The sequence below is a fragment of the Homo sapiens genome, chromosome 10 (genome assembly GCF_000001405.40).
Source record: "Homo sapiens chromosome 10, GRCh38.p14 Primary Assembly".
Classification (NCBI taxonomy): Eukaryota; Metazoa; Chordata; class Mammalia; order Primates; family Hominidae; genus Homo; species Homo sapiens.
This window is the reverse complement of record NC_000010.11, coordinates 14,482,962-14,506,604: the sequence shown is the minus strand read 5'-3', so window position 1 is coordinate 14,506,604 and position 23,643 is coordinate 14,482,962. Positions and strand designations below refer to the sequence as shown.

The 23,643-nt window shown below is 41.7% G+C and overlaps 1 long non-coding RNA gene across 1 annotated transcript; it reads right to left on the bottom strand.

Moving 5' to 3' along the window:
* On the bottom strand, positions 18,130 to 19,335 carry LOC124902380 (uncharacterized). The gene is made up of 2 exons (XR_007062062.1): positions 19,209 to 19,335; positions 18,130 to 18,899 (listed from the first exon to the last, which is right to left on the bottom strand). It is a non-coding gene; the product is annotated as an uncharacterized LOC124902380 (long non-coding RNA).
* Positions 19,336 to 23,643: the final 4,308 nt, after the last annotated feature.

The following is a 23,643-nucleotide window of genomic DNA, read 5'->3' as shown; positions in this document are numbered from 1 at the left end:
TCATCACACTATTCTGAATGCCCTGTGATTAAAAACTTATGAATTGTTTATTTCTGGAATTTTCCATTGAATATTTTCGAACCGTGGTTGACTGTGGGTAACAGTCAAGCCATGTAAAGTGAAATCGCATATTAAGGTAGACTACTGTAACTGAACTGAAGGCCTTCTCCTCCAAAATTTCGCCCTCATCCACAGTCCCAGTCTTCGTAAATGGCACCACTTTCCATCCAGTCCTGTAATTTGGAAATTTGGGAGTCATCTTTGACCCAGCCTCACCCTCCATATCCAATGGAGTTCTTTCCACTCTACCTTGTAAATATCCAGTGAATTTCTCCACTCCTCTGCAATCCCACTACCCATTTTAGAACAGCAGCTTCCTGGTGGGTCCTCCTGTCACTTTTGCCTCAGTCTGCTTTGTGCTCTCCAAAGAAGTCCAAATGATCTTTAGCAAAGGCAAATCTGACTGTGTTCCTCCCTTGCTTGAAGACTTCCCATTGATTTTAGGGCAAAGACCAAAATCCTTAACATGGCCTCCAGGCCCATCATGCTCTGGCCCCTGCTTGCATCGCCAACTCCTCTTGTACCTCTGCCTTTGTTCTCCTTGTTCCAGACTTACCAGCCTCCTCTCTGCTCCAGGGCTTTCCCACCTACCAACTGCCTTTCCTCAAAGTTCTCATTCTCCCCTTTGTGCTTAGTTAACTCATGTTGGACCCTTAGATCCCAACTTCCTTAGGGAAGCTTTCTGAACTGTGCAGAGCAGGTCAAATCAATCTCATAACACAGTTTTACTTCTTCTTTGCAACATTAGGTAAATTAATCCTTGTGTAATTACTTAATGTCTCTCTTATGTATATGAGCTACGAAGTTGGGTATAATATCTGCCTTGTTCACTGCAGTATTCTCCATTTAGGGCTTGGCATACAGTAGGCACTCAACACATATTTGTTGAATCAATAAGTGAACTTCCCAGAGTTCACATGGTCAATATATGGCAGAACCAGGACTCAAATCCAGTTTGACTAATATCAAAGTTTATGCTTTTAATCACTGTATTCTACTATTGTCCTCTATGCCGCCACCATGATAATGTCTTAAAGACATTAAGAGCTTGAGCACAAATTTACTGTATACAGAATGAACCTTTGTGTTCTTTTCAATAGAATGTTGGGCAGCAGCTGCCTCTCAAGCTGACTGTTGCTTTTTACCTGTTCTCATATGTGATTCTACTGAAGTGAGCCAGGAAAAGAGCTAGTGATAAAAATCAAGAGGTCTAAAATAATTATTCTTAGTCAAAAAGAAGATAGATTAAAAATTATTCTTAGCCAAAAAGAAGATAGATTAAAAAGAGTGGAATTTTAATTGGATAACCTAGAAGAAGTGGATAAATTCCTAGAGACATCTAACCTATCAAGATTGAATCATAGAAAAGTAGACAGTCTGAAGAGACCAGTAATGAGTAAGGACTTTGAATCAGTAAGAAAAAAACAAAAAACAAAAAAACAACTCTCTCATCAAAGAAAAGCACAGGGTCGGGCATGGTGGCTCACACCTGTAATCCCAGCACTTTGGGAGGCTGAGGCCAGTTCAACACCAGCCTGTGGAACATAATGAGACCCCTTCCCATTAAGGGTAATTGGTGGCTGTCCTGGTTACTTGGGAGGCTGAGATAGTAAAAACACTTGAGCTCAGGAGTTTGAGGCTGCAGTGAACTATGATCGTGCCACTGTACTCCAGCCAGGGTGACAGAGTGAGACCCTATCTCTTAAAAAAAGTAAAAACTCAAGGCCTGATGGATTCACTGCTGAATTTTATCGGACATTTAAAAAAGAACTATTACTGATTCTTAAACTCTTTCTGATAGTTGAAGAGGAGGAAACACTTCTTAAATCTTTTTACAAGGCCAGTATTACCTTGATATCAAAGCCAAAAAAAGACATTACAAGAAAAGAAAATTACAGGCCACTATTCTTGATTAACATAGATGCAAAAATCCTCAACAAAATGTTAGCAAATGGAATTAAACACCACATTAAAAGGATCGTCCACTATAATCAAGTAGGATTTATCCTTGGCATGCAGAAGGGGTTCAACATACACAAACCAATAAATGTGATACATCAAATTAACAGAAGGAAAGACAAAAATTATATGACCATTTCAATGGATGACAAAAAAGCATTTGACAAAATTCAACATTCTTTCATGATTAAAAAAGATGCGTACCAGCTACTCTGTGCACGTTGCCTATGGAGTAGCCTTGTTTGCAAGAAGTAATAATTTGAAAAAGAAAGAAAGAAAGAAAAACTCTTACCAAACTAGGTGCAGAAGGAATGTACCTCAATATTATAAAGGCCATATATGAGAAGCTCACACCTAACATTTTGTGCAACAGTAAAAAACTGAAAGCCTTTTCTCTAAGATCTGCAATAAGACAAAGATGCCCACTTCTTGCCATATGCAACATATTATTGGAAGTCTTTGCCAGAGTTATTAGACAAAGGGAAGAAATAAAAAGTAAGATAACCATTGGTGAGAAAATGATCTTATATATAGAAAATCTTACAGATTTTACCAAAAAACTGTTACAGCTAATAAACAAACTCGGTAAAGCTGCGTGATACAAAATCAACACACAACAGTAGCATTTCTATACACTAACAGTGAACTATCTGAAAAAGAAATCAAGGGAATAATCCCATTTACAATAGCTGCAAAAAAAGAGAAGATACTTAGGAATAAATTTAACCAAGGAGGTGAAAGATTTGTACACTGAAATTTATAAAACAATGATGAAAGAAATTGAAAAAGAAAGAAATTGAAAATAAATGGAAAGATATCCTGTTCATGGATTAGAAGAATTAATATTGTTAAAATGGCCATACTATCCAAAGCAACCTACAGATTCAATGCCATCTCTATCAAAATTCCAATGTTTGAAGCTTGGTCTAGGAGAATCAATAGTATTGTGTTCTCTCAAAGGATAATCTATAGGGCACTTGATTGACAAGGGGCTTGAACAAAAATATAAGACACAATCAATAATCTATCTCCCATAAAACATGCAGGGAGATAACTTGAACTTATCTATATTCCACTCTGCTTTTCGCTAGACTGTATGCCTTGTAAAAGTCAATTTTTCCGAAAGTCAATTTTTCCAAAAGTCATTCTTTCTTTCAAAGCATATTGTTTGCAGTCTTGAATGGTGGAAAATAAGAGCAGAGAGGAAACTTCTACGTTGAACCTGATATTTTAACACCATAGGCCCTCCAAAAGTTATTTTTACTTTGAACAAATACAAAAATAATGCATAACTTTATTCCATCCTGATTTGCCCCCCAGCTGGCTGACTTCATTGGTTCATAAATTGCCCATGATGAATGAATTGACCTAAAGCCTTGAGCAGATGAATTTTGTGGTCAAGATTTGCTGAAAAATATATTTTTTCTCTTGTTTAGATATATCATTCCCTCAAAGAAAGGGAGTATTAACTCTGGGGTATTGATTTCCTTCTGAAAGGGACTTGGAGACCGTTGTCTTTCCACAGCCAAAAAATAAAAATAAATAAATCAAGGCTTGAATCCTTTCAAGAAATTCAAAGCAACTCCAGTTAGGCACTACAGATATTTAAGTAAATATCTGTATTTACTTAATATTTTACTTAAAAGTAAAACGTATCTACTCTGGCAGCTGGTAAGTGGTTATTTTGCATTGCAAATTTACCACAAAGCTTGTTACTTACCTATGTGCTGGAAGATGCCACCCTGCAATCTCAGAACACTGCCCATGGGTTCTCTCTGTGGACACGGTGATGGGTCTGCATGGAAGAGACCTCTTTCATATTGTTGCAGGGCCCACAAAGACTTTTAGCCCCCTAAAGAGGCAGGAGCCCAGTGAGAGTGAACCCACAAGGCAAGTCATGCCAATAAATCCAGCCAAGTGGAAACCACTAGACAGACGGGAAGATCACGGACAAGTCTGATTCCCATAAAATGGAATGTACATAATTTCCCTTTTTCTTCCACAATTTATTTTTCAGGCAAGGGAATTTAATATATAATAGGGACTTGGCTGATCTCAAAGGCAGGCTATTGCTGCTGCTCAAAGGCAGGCTAGCTCTCATTGACAAGCTATTAGTCTTAAAGATAAATCTCTCCTCTCATCCTCAGCACAACTCATTGACTTGCCCTCCCTCTCTTCCCTCCTCTCTTTCTTCTCTTCTTCTTACAAACAAAACAAAACAAAAGAGAGGTCTTCTTACAAACAAAACAAAAGAGAGGTCTTAACTGCTGATCATAACTGGTTATTCAGCCGGGAGGGTTCTTTTCCATAGTCATGCAAACTAGAGGCACTAATGAATCAATTTTCTGTCTTGGAGGTTACTGCTTGTATTACTTTATTTTCCATCATGGCTTATGTTGCCTATACAGGATCCCCAGGTACCTCCCCAAAGCATCATATTCCTCCAGGCTGGGCTGGCCCTTTGGGTAGCACTGTATGTACTTTCCTCCTACCTGATTTTGCACGGGATGGCTTTGGCTCTAGGACATTGTCACCCCTCTCTCCCTGGGACAGAACAATGAGGCAAGACAGACTGGGAGGCCCCAGGGAAGTGAGGTGGAGGAACAGGAACCCCAGGCAGCAAGGGTGATGAGAGTCAAGAGGAGACCCACCTTTTCCCATTGTCTCACCTCCCTAGGACATGCTCACTTTATTTTGTGTCAACTGACACACATCGAGTACCTGCCTTGTGCTAGTCGGCATGAGAATAAAAAGTGAGTAGGGCAGAGTCTCCATCCATGGGCTGATTCTTGGGAGGCCCCAAGGTAAGCAAGTGTTCCCAGCATGCCAGGATCCTCCTTGTATAGTGACCTTGACCAAAGTGGGTACAAAATGTGCTGTTGGGGCCACGAAAGAGCAATTTACATTTTCCTAAGAGTTCCAGGGAAGGTCAGATCCAGTTGTCACAAGCAAGTACCGCGGTCTTGTCTATGTCACCATATGGACATACTTAGAGGCTCCACACACACACATTGCTTTTTACAAGAGCAAAATGCAGAGAACGAAGGCAATAGCCAACTCTCAGTTATCGGTGGCTTCTTTTCTCCAACTGTTGGACTAATTCTCACTACTGACAGCAAGAAGCCAGGGGGCATCTGGGGCTAGTCTCCTTCAATAGAATGGCTGTGTGTGTGGGAGCAGGGGTGGGGGGGGTGTCGGGGAGGGGGCTGCTTTCCATAACCAAGGTCAGATGGAATTCACATTGGATGTTGGCTTGGATTTTGGGGGAAAAATTGAGTGGGCAATAGAATAAGGAGCACAGGCTCTGGAATCAGAGAACTTGGATTTGAATCATAGTCCCATCGCTTTCTAGCTTTGTGATTCTGGGAAAATAAATGCTTTGGCCCCAGTTTTCTCATCTGTAAAATGGGCGTAACTGACCAGGCATGGTTGCTCACATCTGTAATCCCAGTACTTTGGGAGGCCGAGGCAGGTGGATCACTTGAGGTCAGGAGTTCGAAGCCAGCCTGGCCAACAGGGCGAAACCCCGTCTCTACTAAAAATACAACAAGTAGCCAGGCATAATGTTACGCGCCTGTAATCCCAGCTATTCAGGAGGCTGAGACACAAGAATCACTTGAACCCAGGGGGCAGAGGTTGTAGTGAGCCGAGATTGCACCATTTAACTCCAGCCTGGACAACAGGGCAAGACTCCATCTCAAAAAATAAAAAGTAAAATAAAATGGGCATAATGATTTTGTTTGCCTCATTGAGCCGTTGTAAGAGTTAAAGGAGTAGGGTAGGTATAGTGGCTTATGCCTGCAATCTCAGCACTTTGGGAGGCCGAGATGAGAGGATCACTTGAGGCCAGGAGTTCCAGACCAGCCTGGGCAACATAGTGAGACCCTGTCTCTACAAAAAATAAAAAAAATTTAGCCAGATGTGGTGGCACCGGCCTGTAGTCCCAGCCACTTGAGAGGATGAGGTGGGAGGATTGCTTGAGTCCAGGAAGTTGAGGCTGCAGTGAGCCACGATTGCACCACTGCACTCCAGCCTGGGTGTCAGAGGGAGATGTCCTGTTGAAAAAAAAAAGTGTTAGAGGAGATTCATGTAAAGTGCTTAGTAAACATTAGTGATGATGATGATTGCTGTTCTTTTGTTTATATTTGTTATCTACACTTATTTATGAAGTTCAGGAAGTCCAGGCTCAGTCACAGGCTCTGGGGTGGGGCAGAGTGGCTGCAGTGTTGCTCACACACCCAACGTGCAGGGCCAGGGCCATCCTAGATACAACCCCTCACCACGTGGTATGATTTGAAGCCATAACGTCCAGCTGCCCTCAAATGCCTCTTCTAAAATCCTACCGTGTTAACCTTTTTTTTTTTTTGAGACGGAGTTTCACTCTTGTTGCCCAGGCTGGAGTGCAATGGCACGATCTCAGCTCACTGCAACCTCTGCCTCCCAGGTTCAAGCGATTCTCCTGCCTCAGCCTCCCAAGTAGCTGGGATTACAGGCATGTGCCACCATGCCACCATGCCTGGCTAATTTTTGTATTTTTAGTAGATACGGGGTTTCACCTTATTGGCCAGGCTGGTCTCAAACTTCTGACCTCAGGTGATCCACCCCCCTGGGCCTCCCAAAGTGCTGGGATTACAGGCATAAGCCACTGCGCCCAGCCCTGCATTAACCTTTAAAGTCCCAACCACTGTGTAGCGGTAAAATTTCAACATGCTGTTGTCTGGGGAAAGACAACGCATTTACCCTTTTCTACCTGGCAGAGATACCTTAATACATCCTCAAGCATTGGGTACAGCTGGGACAACCCCTTTTGGCTTGGCAACGGAGAAGTGGGACCAGGCGGTGGGGAAGCCAGTCAGGAGCCATGAGGAGCCTGGGACAGGAGGATGGTCAGTGACAGACAGTGTGGGGGTGAAGCATGTGGGGTTGGAGGCTGGGACATAAGGCCTGGCGCATAGTAGGCCCTCAATAAATATTTGCCATTAAATGACAGGGCCTGGAAAGAGGGAGCTGGGCACTGGCAGGCGTCGCTTGTCATCAGTGTGTCCAGGGCTGGCCCAGCCCAGCCAAAGTCAAGGTGCCTTCCCGGCGAGGAAGGCAGATGGTAGGTTTTCTCGGCCCGTTCTAAGGCCCGGAGGAAGCCTTTGTCCCTGCAGCAAGAACGCCTAATTCAGCCGTTTCTAGGAATCAAGGCTTCTCCTAAGTGTCTTCTTTTATGACTGGGCAAGATAGTCAATTGCTGGCCTCCAGAGAGGAAGGAAAACCTTTCCATGCCTGCTCTTGGCAATAGCAAGGTTGGTGACGTTAGGCTTCGGCAACTCGGGACTTAATCCTTTCTGCTAAGTATCTGCAATACTGAGAGGTTGGGAAGCTTACATGAAATAATAAAACCCAGCCCTAGCCGAGGGCCAGGGCTATACAGACCCTACCAAGGGATGCGGCCGCTACTTTCACCGTCCTTAAAATGATGCGCGTTGCTGCCATCTAGTGTGCACCAGCAGAACGTCTTAGTTTTTAAAATTAGAATCGCAATTCATAGGCTGGGCACAGTGGCTCATGCCTGTAATCCCAGCACTTTGGGAGGCTAAGGCGGGAGGGTTGCTTGAGGCCAGAAGTTCGAGACCAGCCTGGAGAACATAGCAAGACCCCCCCCACTCCCTTCCCATCTCTACAAAAAATTTAAAAAGTTAGCTAAGCGTGTTGGCTCACACCTATAATTCAAGCACTTTGGGAGGCTGAGGTGGGAGGATGGCTTGAGCCCAGGAATTTGAGACCAGTCTGGGCAACATAGTGAGACTCCATTCCATCGCTATAAAAACAATAATTATAATTTGTTTATTAATTTATTGAGTTCTAATATTCTGTTCTTGGTCTGAGGTGAACTAGTTCAAATCATGAGCAGTAAGCATTATGATTACACCTCTCAGTTTGATATGATAGGTTCAGGCACAAAGAGTAAAAAGTCCCCTTTTCTAGGCCCAGTGCTGCCTCTTACTGTGAGGGCAGTGAGGAAGTCATGGAGACTCCTGGTGTGGTTTTCCTCATCTGTAAAACCTACTCGCCGTCCCGCTCCTGCCCACGGTCAAGTATTGCGAGAATTGCAGTTTCACACATTCATTCATCCAGCACATGGGTACCAGGCGCAGGAGCCCTGGGAGTGTAAGGAAGCCAGGGCTCCTGCCATGGGGGAGATGACATTCTATGGGGAAAATAGAAATCACACACTCACACACACCCGTGCACTTGCATGAACACACACACACAATGGACAAAGCATGAAGCCATTTCTCACAGTGACTAATAGAAGTCCCACCTCCTCCATTCCTTGCTTCCAATCGCTCTCCTTTCATAATAGGCCAGTTCTTTCCTAAAACACAAATCTGAGCCTCTTACCAACTTGCAGAGAAACTTTCTTCCTTGTCAATACCATAAGGTTCAATTGCTCTGTCATGGAAGCTACGGTACCAATCACGCCAGCCAGCTTCCTCAAGCTACTTATGGTTTTCTGATACAACAACAGGTAACATTTACCATGTGCCAAGTATTTTGCTCAGTGCTTTATAGATCAATTTGCATATTCATCTTAAGAGTGATGTTGTGTTATTACCCCTCCCCCATTTATCTACAGGGAAACTGAGGCAGAGAGAAGTAAAGGAATATGTCTAAGGTCACACAACTAGTACATAGCAGCCCGGAATTTGGAGCTTGCAGTGAGCCGGGATCGCGCCACTGCACTCCAGCCTGGGCGACAGAGCGAGACTCCGTCTCAAAAAAAAAAAAAAAAAAAAAAATAGCAGCCTGGAACTGAAACCCAGGTCTCTGACTATGGAGCCCGCGCCTTTACCCACTCGGCCACACTGCCATGCTGCTTCCTCCCGGGCAATGCAGCACCTTCCCTCCCTTCGCATCTGGTGGGTCGGCCTTTTCATGGCCTCCTGGTGAAATCTCACCAATTGCAGATGAGCTGACTCAAGCATCCTGCCCGTGAGACTGCTCCTGACACCCACGTGGTGCAACTGCTTTCCCACTGCCAGTGCTGGAAGCCTCATTCGAAAGTGTCATGCCTGTCAGGCACGATAGAGGTTGTATACATGTTTGTCTCCCTGCACACATGGCAAGGGCCTTGGTAAACAGCTGCAGCCGTCTCAACTAAATAAAGGTTTGCTGAATTGTAGTAAATGAAACAGCACAGGAGAAACTGCTCTGTAAACTATAAAACATCAGAGAAACATGAGCCAGCAGATCCTTTGAAAAGTTCTTCATAAAATGTAAACAGATTTAGAGTATGAAGTATTCATTTATGCACAAGCGTTTTCTTCTTTGTGATTTTAGGCCACTTTCTCTGCTAACTAATAATTGCTTCTGCCTTTTCTTTTTAATATAATTTAATTTTAAATTCAATTTAATTTTAAATTCTGGGATACATGTGGAGGATGTGTAGCTACATAGGTAAACACATGCCACGATGGTTTGCTGCACCTATCAATCCATCACCTAGGTATTAAGCCCAGCATGCATTAGCTATTTTTCTGAATGCTCTCCCCTCCCCAGCCTCCCCCGACAGGCCCCAGTGTGTGTTGTTCCTCTCACTGTCCATGTGTTCTCATTGTTCAGTGCCCACTTAAAAGTGAGAACAAGCGGTGTTTGGTTTTCTGTTCCTGCGTTAGTTTGCTGAGGATAATGGCTTCCAGCTTCATCCATGTCCCTGCAAAAGACATGATCTCATTCCTTTCTATGGCTGCATAGTATTCCATGGTGTATATGTACTGCATTTTCTTTATCCAGTCTATCATGGATGGGAATTTGGGTTGATTTCATGTCTTTGCTACTGTGAATAGTGCTGCAATGAACATACGTGTGCATGTGTCTTTATAATAGAATGATTTATATTCCTTTGGGTATATACCCAGTAATGGGACTGCTGGGTCAAATGAGATTTCTGGTTCTAAATCTTTGAGGACTCGTCATAGTGTCTTCCACAGTGGTTGAACTTGCCTTTTCAACCAAGGGTCACTATATGGGGAAATGTTCCTGTTATTGACTTAGAGATTTGAAACTGTAAACTATCACTATGCACACTTTGCACAAAAGCAAGCATTTCCCTCCTTAAAGATCTTTAAAAAGCAACAGTGAAGTGACTCCTATTGGGGGCAAATCTCTCCGGGTAATGGAAGCTGACCTAGCAGTCAAACCCTTGATTCTGGCTGGGGCTCTGTCCCTCACTGGCTGTTCCCTATTGACCTTCTCAATGGTACAACAAAAGCCACCAAATGATTTCTGAGGTCCCTTCCAATCCTAGGATTCTCAGATTCGCATCTTGGCTCTGCAGTCTCATTCCTTGGAGCCACTTAATTGATTTTGGAAATCAGTTTCCATGCTTATAAATTGGACCTGGACCAATCCAGCAGAAAACTGTGAATGCTACAGAGAAATATTAATGTAAATTGCTCATGCAATTTAAAATCAAATAAATGCAGAGAAGAAAAAAGGGGTTGCGTTGCCCAGAAGTAAGTTAAAAAGAAGAGCCTAGTGATGGGCGATTCTCTCTTTTTGGTAGATGAGTTAGGTAGGTGGAGCATGAAATCTTTTTTTCTTTGGGATGATGAACTGAGATTTATACAATCAATAACATTGGAAACTATCTTCCTTGTTCTCTGGCTTCTTTCTTTTTTTGGTCATCACCTGCTTTCAATTCTGGACAGAGCTAGCTCATCGCTCCTGTGATTCTCCTGAACAAAAATTCTACATTCAAAAGCTTGAAGCTTAAGGCCCTCCTGTGGTGTTCTTTTAGCTGCTAATGAAAATTTTTTTTATATGAGATAATTTGTAGTCAGGGAGTAAATATAACATTACAAACCCAAAATTTAAAAACATAATATATGCTTCAAAGAGATCAAACAGTAGTCAAAAACAATCTTAAAAGTCTAGGCAAAGGTAGTTTCAAAGGCAGGTTCTACCAGAAAGTCCAGAAAAAATAATTCCAATTTTTCACAAACTATTCTTGAGTACAGCAGGAGAGGAAACACTCCTCACCTCAATTTGAGGCTTCCAAAATCTTGATGCCAAAACCTACCAAGGATAGTAGAAGACAGGAAAATTACTGGCTGACCACACTTAGGATCATGAATGCAAGAATTCTAGGCAATATATTGCCAAACCAAATCCAGCAACATCTCAAAGGGATGATCATAATGAAGTCTGTGTATTCCAGGAATGCAAGGCTAGCGTGACTTTGAGCATCAGTTAACGTAATTTTCTAAAGTATTTGATTAAGGGAGAAAAATTATATGATTATTTCAATAGATATAGACAAATATTTAATAAAATTCAATATCACATGTGATTTTTAATAAAATCCTTCTCAAACTAATTCACTTAACATAACTTATACCTAAAAAATAAACAAAACAAAACAAATCATAAATTCTGCCACAGTTGTCATTCTTAATGGTGAAAAGGTGAAAATATTTCTTTTTAGATGAATAATGATGGAAGGGTCCTAACAATCTTTTTTCTTTTCTTTTTCTTTCTTTCTTTCTTTTTTTTTTTTTTTTTTGAGAGTGGGTCTCACTCTGTTGCCCAGGCTGGAGTGTGGTGATGTGATCTTGGCTCATTGCAATCTCTGGGCTCAAGCAATCCTCCCACCTCAGCCTCCAGAGTAGCTGACAACCGGGCGTGCACCACCACACCTGGCTACTTTTGTCTTTTTTGTGGAGATGGGATTTCCCCATGTTGCCTAGACTTGTCTTGAACTCCTGGGCTCAAGCAGTCCTCTCACCTTGGCCTCCCAAACTGCTGGGATGACAGGCCTGAGTCACCGTGCCTGGCTGAGATCTCTAATAATCATTATAATGGAGGTCTTAGAAAGTACAGTAAGGCAAGAAAAATAAAAGTATAAGGATTGTAAAGAAACAAAATTGTTATTATTTGTAGATGTCATGATGTATATATAGGAAATAGAAACAAATTTGTATAAAACTTATTAGATTTAATAAAAAGTTTATCAGGATTATGGGTATAATACCAATATAAGAAAATCTATTGTCTTTTTATATACTGGCAACAAACATTTGGAAAATGAAATGAAAGAGTTGCCTTTTTTTTTTTTTCTGTGAACCTAAAACCACTCTAAAAAATAAAGTTTATTAATTTAAAAAAGATACCAGAATAGCACTAAAAAGCATTTAAAAAGTCAAATAAATAGAAACAGAGAGTCTAATAGTAGTTATTAGGGGTAAAGAGGAAAAGAAATTGGCGAGAAGTAGGTCCAAGGCTACAAATTTGCAGTTTGGTAGAATGAAAATGTCTAGAGAACTAACGTGAAGAATGAGGATGTAGTTAATAACACTGTATTGTATACTGAACATTTGCCAAGAGAGATTTTAGGTACTCTTTCTCTCTCACACGCAGAGTAACAATGGAATGTGATGAATAGGATAATTTTCTTGCCTGTAAATAGTCCTTTCACTATGAATATGTATATCAAAATATCATGTTGTACACCTCAAATATATAAAATAAAAATAATTTTAAAAATATTTTTAAAGGAGTAAACAGCAATAGATATATACAGTTTCCTTATAAAAAAGATAAGGAAAAGGTTTCATAAGTCCTCGAAAGTTTCTCCATTCTGTTGTTGCCTTTCTGTGCATTATAAAATGTTTTAATTTACTTTATATGTAAAAGAATAGCACAAAGGTTCTAAAAATTATAAGCCTTTTAAAAATCTTTATTGACCAATATGAAAGAAGTCCTAAATAAGTGGAGAAACATACTATGTTTATGGATTAGAACATATTCTCTCCAAATTGATTTATACACTCAAAGCAATCCCAAAAGGGTGTGTGTGTGTGTGTGTGTGTGTGTGTGTGTGTATGTGTGTGTTTGTAACTTTATAAGCAAATTTTAAACTTATACAGAAACATAAAGGACCAAGTACAGCCAAAGAAAAGAAACCAGCCTAGGAAGGCTAGGCCTATAAGATATCAAGATATGGTATAAAAATACAATAATTAAGATTGTGTAGTATGGAGGTAGAAATTAAAAAAAATAGAACAATGGAACAGAATGCGGTGCAAAAACCAGATCTACACAGATATTGTCACTGGACATACAACACAATTGATACTGCAAATGAAAGGGAAAAGAACTGATATTTGAATAAATGCTGCAAAAACAATCGGTTAGCCAGCTGGAAAAAAATATAATTGGATCCTACCACAACCCATCTTCAAAATTCAATTCCAGGTGGATTAAATAACCTAAATATGAAAGCAAAAGTATAATGCATTTATAAAATAATATTTTCATGACTTTGAAATAGCAAAATATTTCACTAGACAAAAAGTGTAAGATGATATTTGTGAAATAATAATTGATAAAGGACACATAGGTAGAATATTTAAAGAAATCTTATCAATGCATAAGAGAAAAGAACCCAATAAAAGTTGGGTTAAGAGACGTGAACAAATATTGCACAAAAGAAAGAAAACTCAATGGCTACAAAATATATTAAGAAATAAATGGTCAGTCTCATTAGTAATCATAGAAATGCATATTAAAGCCATAGCGTAATACCATTACACATACACCAGATTTGAAAATTTTAAACAACTGAGAATATTATGTGTTGATAAGAATATGAACAACTAGCACGTTGTACCCTGTGGGTGGGAGTAAATATTGCTGTAATACTTTGGAAAACAGTCGGTGCTACTTTACAATGTTGAGCATGTGCACACAGTATGACCTAAGAATTTCACTTGTATGGATGCTGTGTTAATTTCTTTCTTTCTTTCTTTCTTTTTTTTTTTGAGATGGAATCTTGCTCTGTTGCCCAAGCTGGAGTGCAGTGGTGTGACCTCGGCTCACTGCAACCTCCGCCTCCTGGGTTTAAGCGATTCTCCTGCCTCAGCCTCCCTAGTAGCTGGGATTACAGGAGCCCACCACCATGTATGGCTAATTTTTGTATTTTTAGTAGAGATGGCATTTCACCATGTTGGCCAGGCTGGTCTCGAACTCCTGGCCTCAAGTGATACACCTGCCTTGGCCTCCCAAAGTTCTAGGATTACAGGTGTGAGCCACTGCGCCCGGCCAATATTGTGTTAATCTCTGTTGCTCTGTAACAATCACCGCAAACTTAGCAATGTAAAATATCACTCAGTTTTTAGCTCACAATCCTATAGGTCAGAAGTCTAGATGGGCTTAACTGGCTTCTCTGCTTAAGCTCTCACAAGGCCTAAGTCAAGATGTTAGCTGGGCTGCGCTGGGCTGGGCTGTTATCTGAAGCTTTGTGGATGAATTCATTCCAAGCTCATTTAGCTCATTGGCAGGATTTAGTTCCTTGTGGGTGTAGGACTGAGGTCTCTATTTCATTGATTTTCTGTCAGTTTCTATGTATGTTGCGTGCATGTGTGTGTGTGTGTGCGCGCATGCGTGTGTGTGTGTGTGTGTGTGTGTGTGTGTGTGGTCATTCCCTGATCCTAGAGGCCTCTCTTTGGCCAGCAACAGCACATTAATCCTTCTCATGCTTTGGATCTCTCTGACTTGTCATTCAGTGACTAGCAAACCCTATGATTCATGTTATAAGTAGGAAGTAAAAGGTTGGTCATCAAGGAAGTGGAGACTGAAACATCTGGAAAAGAGAAGGAAGCCAGGGACTAGTTCAAAGAATCGAACCAGGGGGTTTTCACAAGAGGATGGTTTTGAAAGAAAGGATCTCTACTTTCATCTCAGAGAGATGCCTTTCCCTCTACTCTATAATGGCATCCTGGTGATCAACTAGTGTTCCCCATGGGGTATAATGAATGCCAATACACAGTGAAGTAAATACAATTTTACTTTCCAAGAGACAAGGGTAAGACAACTAGGTGCATGAATATTGCAGCAAAAGGATTTAGATAAGATTTTCTTTACCTATGAGTTTTAAAAATCAATATCACTGGCAACAGTTGTGATAAATCTGTAGAAGATTTACTGGAGTTACCATGTTTGTCAATGTAAACCCAAGACACCCTCATCTTCATCTTCTTGTACCGGTCCCCTAGCATGAGGCTAAGAGATCACAAATATCTCCTTATAGGAAATTCCCATTTGGAATTCCCTTGAAAAACCCCATTCCCATAAAAGCTAAACAAATGGGGGTGAAGTGGAGGATAACCCACGCATATCAAATTACTTTTCACTTTCACTTTATCAGTGCTAATTTCTTTTGGCCCTAAGCTCACTTTTCACATCTGATTTAAATGTTTAAACTATGTTTCTGCTTTGGAGAGCTAGGAGACATTGGAGTGTGCCCACTGTAAGTTGGAATGTCCTTTGTTCTTGGAGACGGTACTTTAGGATGCTCCTGCCAGAAATTTGGAAGAAAGGCCTTTGGACCATTTGATGAGGTAGAATCTATGCAGCCATGTCCTAGTCCAATCAGCTTTCCCTGTAAAGGATTTTATTATTGTTTTAATAGGAAGAATGTGTTCTTTGAAAAGAGCATCACGTGAGGAAAATGATAAACATCGAGTAAGAAAAATTTAAATTCTTTCAAATCAAAGACTTTATCATTTAAGTCCCTCCTCCCTCCCAAGTCACTGGTCATGCCTCATGCATTTTGCAGCCCCAGTGCCTGGCATGGTGCTCAGCCATAGCCTCTAGCAGGGGCTCACTGAATCCTGTTGAATGAGACAAATGTGAGGGCAAGTGTCCAGGCTTTGATTATTGGTTTGCCCCAACCACACTTTCAGAATCCCTGAATGAAGAGACTTTTTCTTTAGCTTGCTAATTTGTGAATTTTGAGTGGAAAAAAGTAACAAAAGCACAAAGCAATAAAGTCATAAATAACCTTAGAATTGAGTTAGTTGAGATTAAGACCTTAAAGGCTCAAGGTTCTGTTGGCATTGAAATGAAAAGCTGTTGTGCTAATTAACGTGAAATAGCACATTATACATATCATTATTAAAGTGAAATGTGCATACTGTATAACAGGTGAGTTTGGACAGCTGTAAAGGTAATTAAAACAGATGTCCTGCATCATTAGGCTTCAAACACCTGCATTAGATCTGAAGGAGGTACTAGGAGCACCTCCCATGATGGCTGTAGAAACAAATTTTTGTGTCATGAGTATAGAAGAAAAACAGTATCTGTTCATGGAGGACACTCCTTGTGTTTTCCCAAACACAGATTTCCATAAAATATAAACCACAAGAACAAGGATTTAAAGCAATGTGCAGCCAGTGAGAAATATTTTTTCCCTTTTCCTTTTTGTTTAGCTGTTTATTAAATTGAATAATTCTGAAGCCCGTCTTCCCACACTCCAGGCATACCATTTGGGGACAGGCAGGCACAGATATATGCCTCGGAAGCCCAGGAGGTTGAGAGCCTGGATAATTTTTCCTGATGAGGGTTGCAGCTCTTCCTGGGTTGCTTGAGAACTTCCTTGGCTTCTGAAACATCCAAGTGCCCCGGGAATTAACATCTTTGCCTCCTCATGAACCCATCAAACCAAGATCCAATTGCATCAGCAAGTGTACTTCTTACTGTGTATAGGTAGTAACTCTTCTTTCCTTTCCTTTCTTTTCCTTTCTTTCCTTCCTTTCCTTCCCTCCCTCCTTCCCTTCCTCTTCCTTTCCTTTCCTTTTCCTTCCTTCCCTCCCTCCCTCCCTCCTTCCCTCCTTCCTTCCTTCCTTCCTTCCCTCCTTCTCTTTCCTTTTCCTTTGTCCTTTAATTCTTTCTTCTGCTCTTGTTTTGATTTATAAAGACAAGAGTGTTGTGGCTGAAGCTTCTGTGGCCTTCACACTTGATTCTACAAGAATTTGCTAAAAACCCCATAGCAGCCTAGAAAATCATCAATCATCTTTTGGATGACATGTGTCAGGCCACTGTTCCCTCTTTTACTGGAAAAGAGGCTTTCAGCCAGCCAAAGGGTCAGGGAGCAAAGCAGAGTGACTATGACATGCAATTGCCTTCCAATCTGGAAAGAAATGCCATGTGCCACAGAGGCAGTGGGAGATCCTGGCTTTCCAGCTATACAGGGCAGGTGTGAAATCCTGTCTCATCTGTGCATTCACTTAAAAAACAGTCGATTGCATACTGTCAACTTAAAAATCACCCAATCTATACATTTGGAAAGGAGATCTTATTTATTATAAAGGGTTATAGCCTGCAAGGTGGTCATCTTGACTGGCTGGGAAGCACAGCCTAATATGCTATTCAGTGGAAATAGCGTATAAGACTGAAAAATAATATTATCAACCCCAAGGCAAGCACTTGGAGGAAATGAAACAGGAATTTATGTTGAATGGGTTGGTCTACAGATTACAGGAAAAGCTAAGCATTATCACAAAGTGAGGGCACATGCATGATAAGCAAACATGCACGTTACATGTATTCCATGTTCACTTTGGGGCAGAGACTTAACATTTAAGTGTATTCAAGTTAGACCCTATACATCAAAAGGTGAAGCAGGGACACCAAGATCCAATTGCATCAGTGAGTGGACTTCTTACTGTGTATAGGTAGTAAACCTTTCCCTCCCTCCCTCCCTCCCTCCCTTCTTTCCTTCCTTCCTTCCCTCCTCCCTAGCTTCCCTCTGGCACTGAGTGCACAGCCTCTGTAAACTGGCCACAACCAGTCTACGGTCAGCAGCCTCTGATCAGGACAAAGTTACTGAAATCAGTCTCTTCTCCAATCAAAGCTGTAGTGATGGCTGGTGGGATGGGGGTCAGTTAATCAGCATCTGGAAGTACACGAGCTGCAAATTTTTTTTTTTTTAGATGGAGTCTCGCTCTTGTTGCCCAGGCAGGAGTGCAGTGGCGCGATCTTGGCTCACTGCAGCCTCTGCCTCCTGGGTTCCAGCGACTCTCCTGCCTCAGCCTCCTGGGTAGCTGGGATTACAGGTGCCCGCCACCACGCCTGGCTAATTTTTGTATTTTTAGTAGAGACGGGGTTTTGCCATGTTGACCAGGCTGGTCTCGAGCTCCTGACCTCAGGCGATCTGCCCGCCTCTGCCTCCCAAAGTGCTGGGATTACAGGTGTGAGCCACTGCACCTGGCTGCAATTGTTTTCATATTGCTTATGTCAAGGCCAGTGTTTGTTTAGCTGCTAGAGAAAAATGAAACCTTGTGGCCGTTAGAACATAGTTTATTCTTTTAAAGTGTAGGGTGTGTGGCTTAACCCTTGCCTGGCAAGGCTTTAGGTCCTGTTCATAATTTGGTATCTTATGGCCACAAAGCATCCGTATCCCATCAGTCTGATGATTTCTATTTTAACATGAATGCTGGTCAGTTGTTGTAGCTAAACCACAAAAGGGAAGGGGTATGACAAGATGTGTCTGACCTCCTCTTCCGTCATGGCCAGGAACTTCGTTTTTAAGCTTTTTCTGAGATTCCCTTAGCCAGAAGCGGGTCCATTCACTTGATTGGAGGTCTCTTGTTTTCTTACAGTGTCAAAACTTGACTAGTTGTTTATAAGAAAACATGGAACTGTGGTCATTCTCCAGTTCTCGGTACTATGGGCCAAGTCCTGTTATAGGCACTGGTGAGGTATCAGTAGATACACCAAGTTTACTGTCATCATCACAGAGCTTGCTAACTAGTAGAGGCAGCTAGATAATAGACAAAGTGAGTACATTACTATATTTTGTTGATTCTTAGAAGCATGATGTTTCACATTAGCAACTTTGAAACTGGGGTGCATTCTATAATCGCTGGCATCTTATCATTGCTGCTGGCCGGGCAGCTGCCTTTAAGGAATTGCCATTTCCCCCGAAGTTGCAAACCTGAGAAAAGCTGCTCATAGTGTTCCTGCTTCAGCTCAGCTGGGCTCTTTGCCAGTACTATGCGTAAAGGATTTATTTTGCCATTCAAATGTCTTCAAAAAGATTCCACGATGATCTGAAATTGAAACAAAAGGTTATTGTGTACATGGAGAGGCATGGAAACCCAAAAGCAAGTATTCATCTTTGGGAGAGTGACCACAATTCCGTGTTTCCTTATAAACAACCAGTCATGTTTTGACACTGTAAGAAAAGAAGATACCCGCAAGAGGGTGAAGCTTTGTCATGTCTTACTACTGAGCTATGTTTGCAAAAGGACTGCCTATCACATGCAAAGGTTTTCAAGGCATGAGAAGTCTCTTAAAATCTCCAAATTAGTAAAAAAAAAAAAAATTGGTGAGGTGTTGAGGTAAGAGGCAGGACTCACCTCCAGAGGTGGAGCTCGGACACCAGATCAGATTGAGGACTAGCTGAAACAGGGCCAGGATGAAAGCAGCATTCAATCAGACCCACCCACCAGTGTACCAGGTCAATTTACTGTTGCCATGGCAACACTCGGGAGGTACTGCCTCTTTCCACGGCACCCAACCATCCAAAAGTTACTACCCCTCCCGTGCATAAACCACTCCTTAATCTGCATGCAGCTAAACGTGTGTATAAATATGGCTGCAAAATTGCCCTGCCCTGAGCTGCTACTCTCTGCCTACTGGGTAGCCCTGCTCTGCGGGGGCAGTCACAGAGTTGTAACGCTAAGACTGTTTTCTTTTACTTTTGGCTTGCCCTTGAATTCTTTCCTGGGCAAAGCCAAGAAGCCTTGTGGGCTAAGCTCCATGATGGGGCTCAGCTGCCCCGCATCAGTGTGACCTAATGTCAAGGCCATGACTCAGTTAGCCGCCCTTCTCTTTTGTTGACATAAAACGTAATAGTGTGCGTCAACATTCATGTCTTACATGAAATATGATGTGTTGTGTGTTAGAAATATTATGGAGGAGGTGAAACGGGGAGCACTGTGGGGAGGAGGATGCAATTTTAAGTGATGTGGCCGTGGTAGTGCTCACTGAGAAGGTGATGTTTGAGCGAAGACCTAGAGGGGTCCAGGGAATGAGCTATGTTTCCTTCTAGAATAGAATATTTCGGGAAAAACAACAGCAACAACCAACCAAACAAAGAAATTCCACAAACAAATTATGTAAGGGTATACTTTAGCCAAATACAAAATAATTTAAAGCTTTTATGGGGAGGGAAGCTCCATGAAGACAGAGGTTTTGTCAGTTTGTAACTATAGATTTTCACGCAGGGCACGCACCAGGCACTCAGTCGATGTTTGTGGAATAAACGAATAAACTTTTAAAAGGGAAATAAATGCTACATTATATAGTGAGCAATAAAACCATTAACACATTTAAATGTAGTTGATAGTATAGTTTGTGAGGTTTAACACATTTTCAAAATATTTGAAAGAATAAGCAGTATATGTCATTAGGGAATTGTAAATTCAAAAAATGAAATACTATTACGCACCTATTGAAATGGTCAGAATCCAAAACACTAACACCAAATGCTGGCGAAGATTTGGAACAACAGCAATTCTCACTCATTCTGGAGGAATGCAAAAATGGCACAACCACTTAGGAAGACAGTTTGGCAGTTTCTTACAAAATGAAACATACTCTTACTATGTGATCCAGCGTTCACGCTCCTTGGTATTTACCCAAAGGAATTGAAAGCTTATGTCCACACAAAAACCAATGCACAGATGTTTCTGGCAACTTTCTTCATAATTGACAAAATTTGCAAGCAACCAGGATGTTCTTCCATAGATGAATGGATAAACCGTGGTATGTCCAGACGATGGGATATTATTCAGTGATGAAAAGAAAAGGTGCTATCAAGCCAACAAAGGCATGGTGGAACCTCAAATGTATATTACTAAGTGAAAAAGCCAATCTGAAAAGGCTACATACATACTGTGTGATTCCATCTATACGACATTCAGGAAAAGGCAAAACTATAGAAGATAGTAAATAGATCAGCGGTTGCCAGGGGTTGGGGAAAAAGAAGGATAAATAGGTGGAACATAGACGATTTGGGGGCAGCGAAACTGTTTTGTAAGATGCTATAAGGGTGGATACATGTCATGATATATTTGTCAAAAGTCATAGAATGTACAACATCAAGAGTGATCCCTAATGTAACCTATGGACTTTGGATGATAATGATGTATTAACGTAGGTTCATTGAGGATAACAAATGTACCATTTTGGTGCAGGATGTTGATGATGAAGAAAGCTGTGTATATGTGGGGATGGGGGGGTATATGGGAACTTTCTCTGCTTTCTGCTCAAGTTTACTGTGTTCCTAAAACTGCTAAAAAGCATAAAGTCTATTAGAAGATAAAAAGGGTATACGGTGCAAAATAAAAGAAGCCCTATAATAATAATTATAATCTTGGAACTAAATTCAAGGAGCCATCAAAAGGAGGGGGCTACAAAAGGTTGCAAACACCTCATCTTGTTAGACTTGTTGAAAGGGGGATTATACGTATTATTTAATTATTAATGATGCAAAAATATTTTGTTGAATTAAGTTAGCTAAAAATGTAGTAAAATTCTAGTAAAATAGAAATAGGATGTAGAACTTCAAAATGAATATGGAAAAGAACAATGAAAAATGTAATGAACCCCATATATGTTAGGAAAGGAAAAGAAAAACACGAAGAAAATACAAATAGAAAACATAAATGGAGTTGGCACCATTCAAGCTACCAGGACAAAGACAGATTCTCCTACTGAATGACAGGGCAGTTCTGGGTCTGCTGAGGGAGCAGGAGAAGGCTGCAGGTGGCTTCCCGTAGGACCGTGTGGCCTGGGGACAGACTGGTGGCTGGTGTTTGTGTGCCTAGGGTGCAGGCAGGGGTTCCTTTGGGGACAAACTCCCTTTTACCCAAGGCAGCTTGGAGGGCAGTCGGCTGCTTCCTGGATGGGGGTCTCAGGAAGGTCACAAAAGCTGGTTCATCCCCATCCCATCCATCTACTTGAGATCTTCTGGATGTGGTTAGGGGTAGGAAATAGGGAAGAAGTGGTCAAAGTCAAATAAAGTATAGAGATGAATCTCTACATTTAGGACATTTTATTGGGGAAGCAAAAATTGCAATTTGGGGCATACATGCATACCAGGTGGTCTTTGGTATGTCCAAAGAACAAAGAGAAGGTTAGAGGTTTTATATGTAAAAGAGAGATAAACGTTATGTATTGTCCTTCAAGGAAGTTCAATGGCACTAGTAAAATTTTGCGTAGCTGGAACTTTCTGATAGGCAAGTGGTGGCGGCAGGTAAAACTACTTTTAGAGTCCCAGCAGGTTGTTTCGTAGCCATTAGATTCGACTGGTTTGGGGATCCAGCAGGCAGTTTCAGCAGCTGAGCTTGCAGAAAATGACATTCTTGGAGCAACCCTATATGTTGTGTGTCAAGAGTGCATTCCCCACGCCTTGGCTTCTCAACTCTGTTTTAGTTGGGTATGACAGGAGTCATCGAATTCGTGTAATCAACGTTCACCAAGTGAACACAGATGCTAAGCTGTTATAAATTATGTTCCATTTTCCATTTGCTGTGGCACACACAGGCTAGCCAGGGTACCACCTTCTTTTGGTTCCCCACCCACAATTGACATTAGGACTTGACTTTTAACATCCACCCCACCTGCAGCTGGGGACGTGGACTGACCACCTGTGCAATTAGAGACGTTTTCCTGTTGATCCCTTTCTAAATGTGTCTTCGGCTCACTCTGACCTCCAGTCAGAGCTGAGCTGGGGGTTCCTCCTCAGGACTCTGTCGGGGAAGTTCTTTCATTTCTCAGCGAGCCTCCCTGGCCGACTCTGAATTACCAGTCAGTCAGCCCTGATCAATTTTTCTGTCAATTTGATCCCATCTACCTCACACTATCCAACGTTTTCTCAAAGTTTCTGGCCTGCTGATGGCCCTCTCTGCTATTTCCTGGCACTATTTATTTCTGTTTCTTTTGATGATCTTTGGTTATTTGAGTGGGAGTTGGGGAAGAGGGGGATGTAAATAGCAATTTAAGGTTGATTCTAAAGGGGGGATTCCAAAAGCGGCAGCCTCATTATAATACATGCACCCTCATTACTTGGAGGGTAAAGCACTCATTTGGCTGCACCAAGTCTGCCACCATATGTTTGTTAAGAAACCAAGCCCAGTCCTTTGAGCATGCCAAGCGTGCTGCCCCAGGGCCTTTGCACAACCCTTCCCACTGCAGGGCTGGCTCCTCCCCCAGGTACTCACACAGCTCATCTCCTCGCTTCACTCAGGTCTCTGCTCACATGTCCCCTCCTGAGAGGGACCGTTCCTGTGTCTCATCTTCCCACCATTGCCCACGCTTACTTTCCTTGCCTTATTTTTTTTTTCTTGGCGTTTGTCACTCCCTGACATTGTATTATATATTTATATATATTTTTTTGTCTTTCTCCTCAATGTAAATAAACTCCAAGAGGGAAGGCAGGGTCTTTGTTTGGTAACTTCTTTCTCCTCTGCACCTAGAACAACATTTTGCATGCAGAAGCCCTCAATCAATATTTGCTGAATGTGGCTGGGAATGGTGGCTCATGCCTGTAATCCCAGGGATTTGGGAGGCCGATGCTTGAGCCCAGCAGTTTGAGACCAGCCTGGGAAATGTAGTGAGGCTCTGTCTCTACAAAAAAAAAAAAAAAAAAAAAAAGTTGTCTGGGTGTGGTGGCATGCACCTGTTAGTCCCAGCTACTTGGAGGCTGAGGTGGGAGGATCGCTTGAGGCTAGAAGTTGAGGCTGCTGTGAGCTGTGATAACACCACTGCACTCCAGCCTGGGCAACA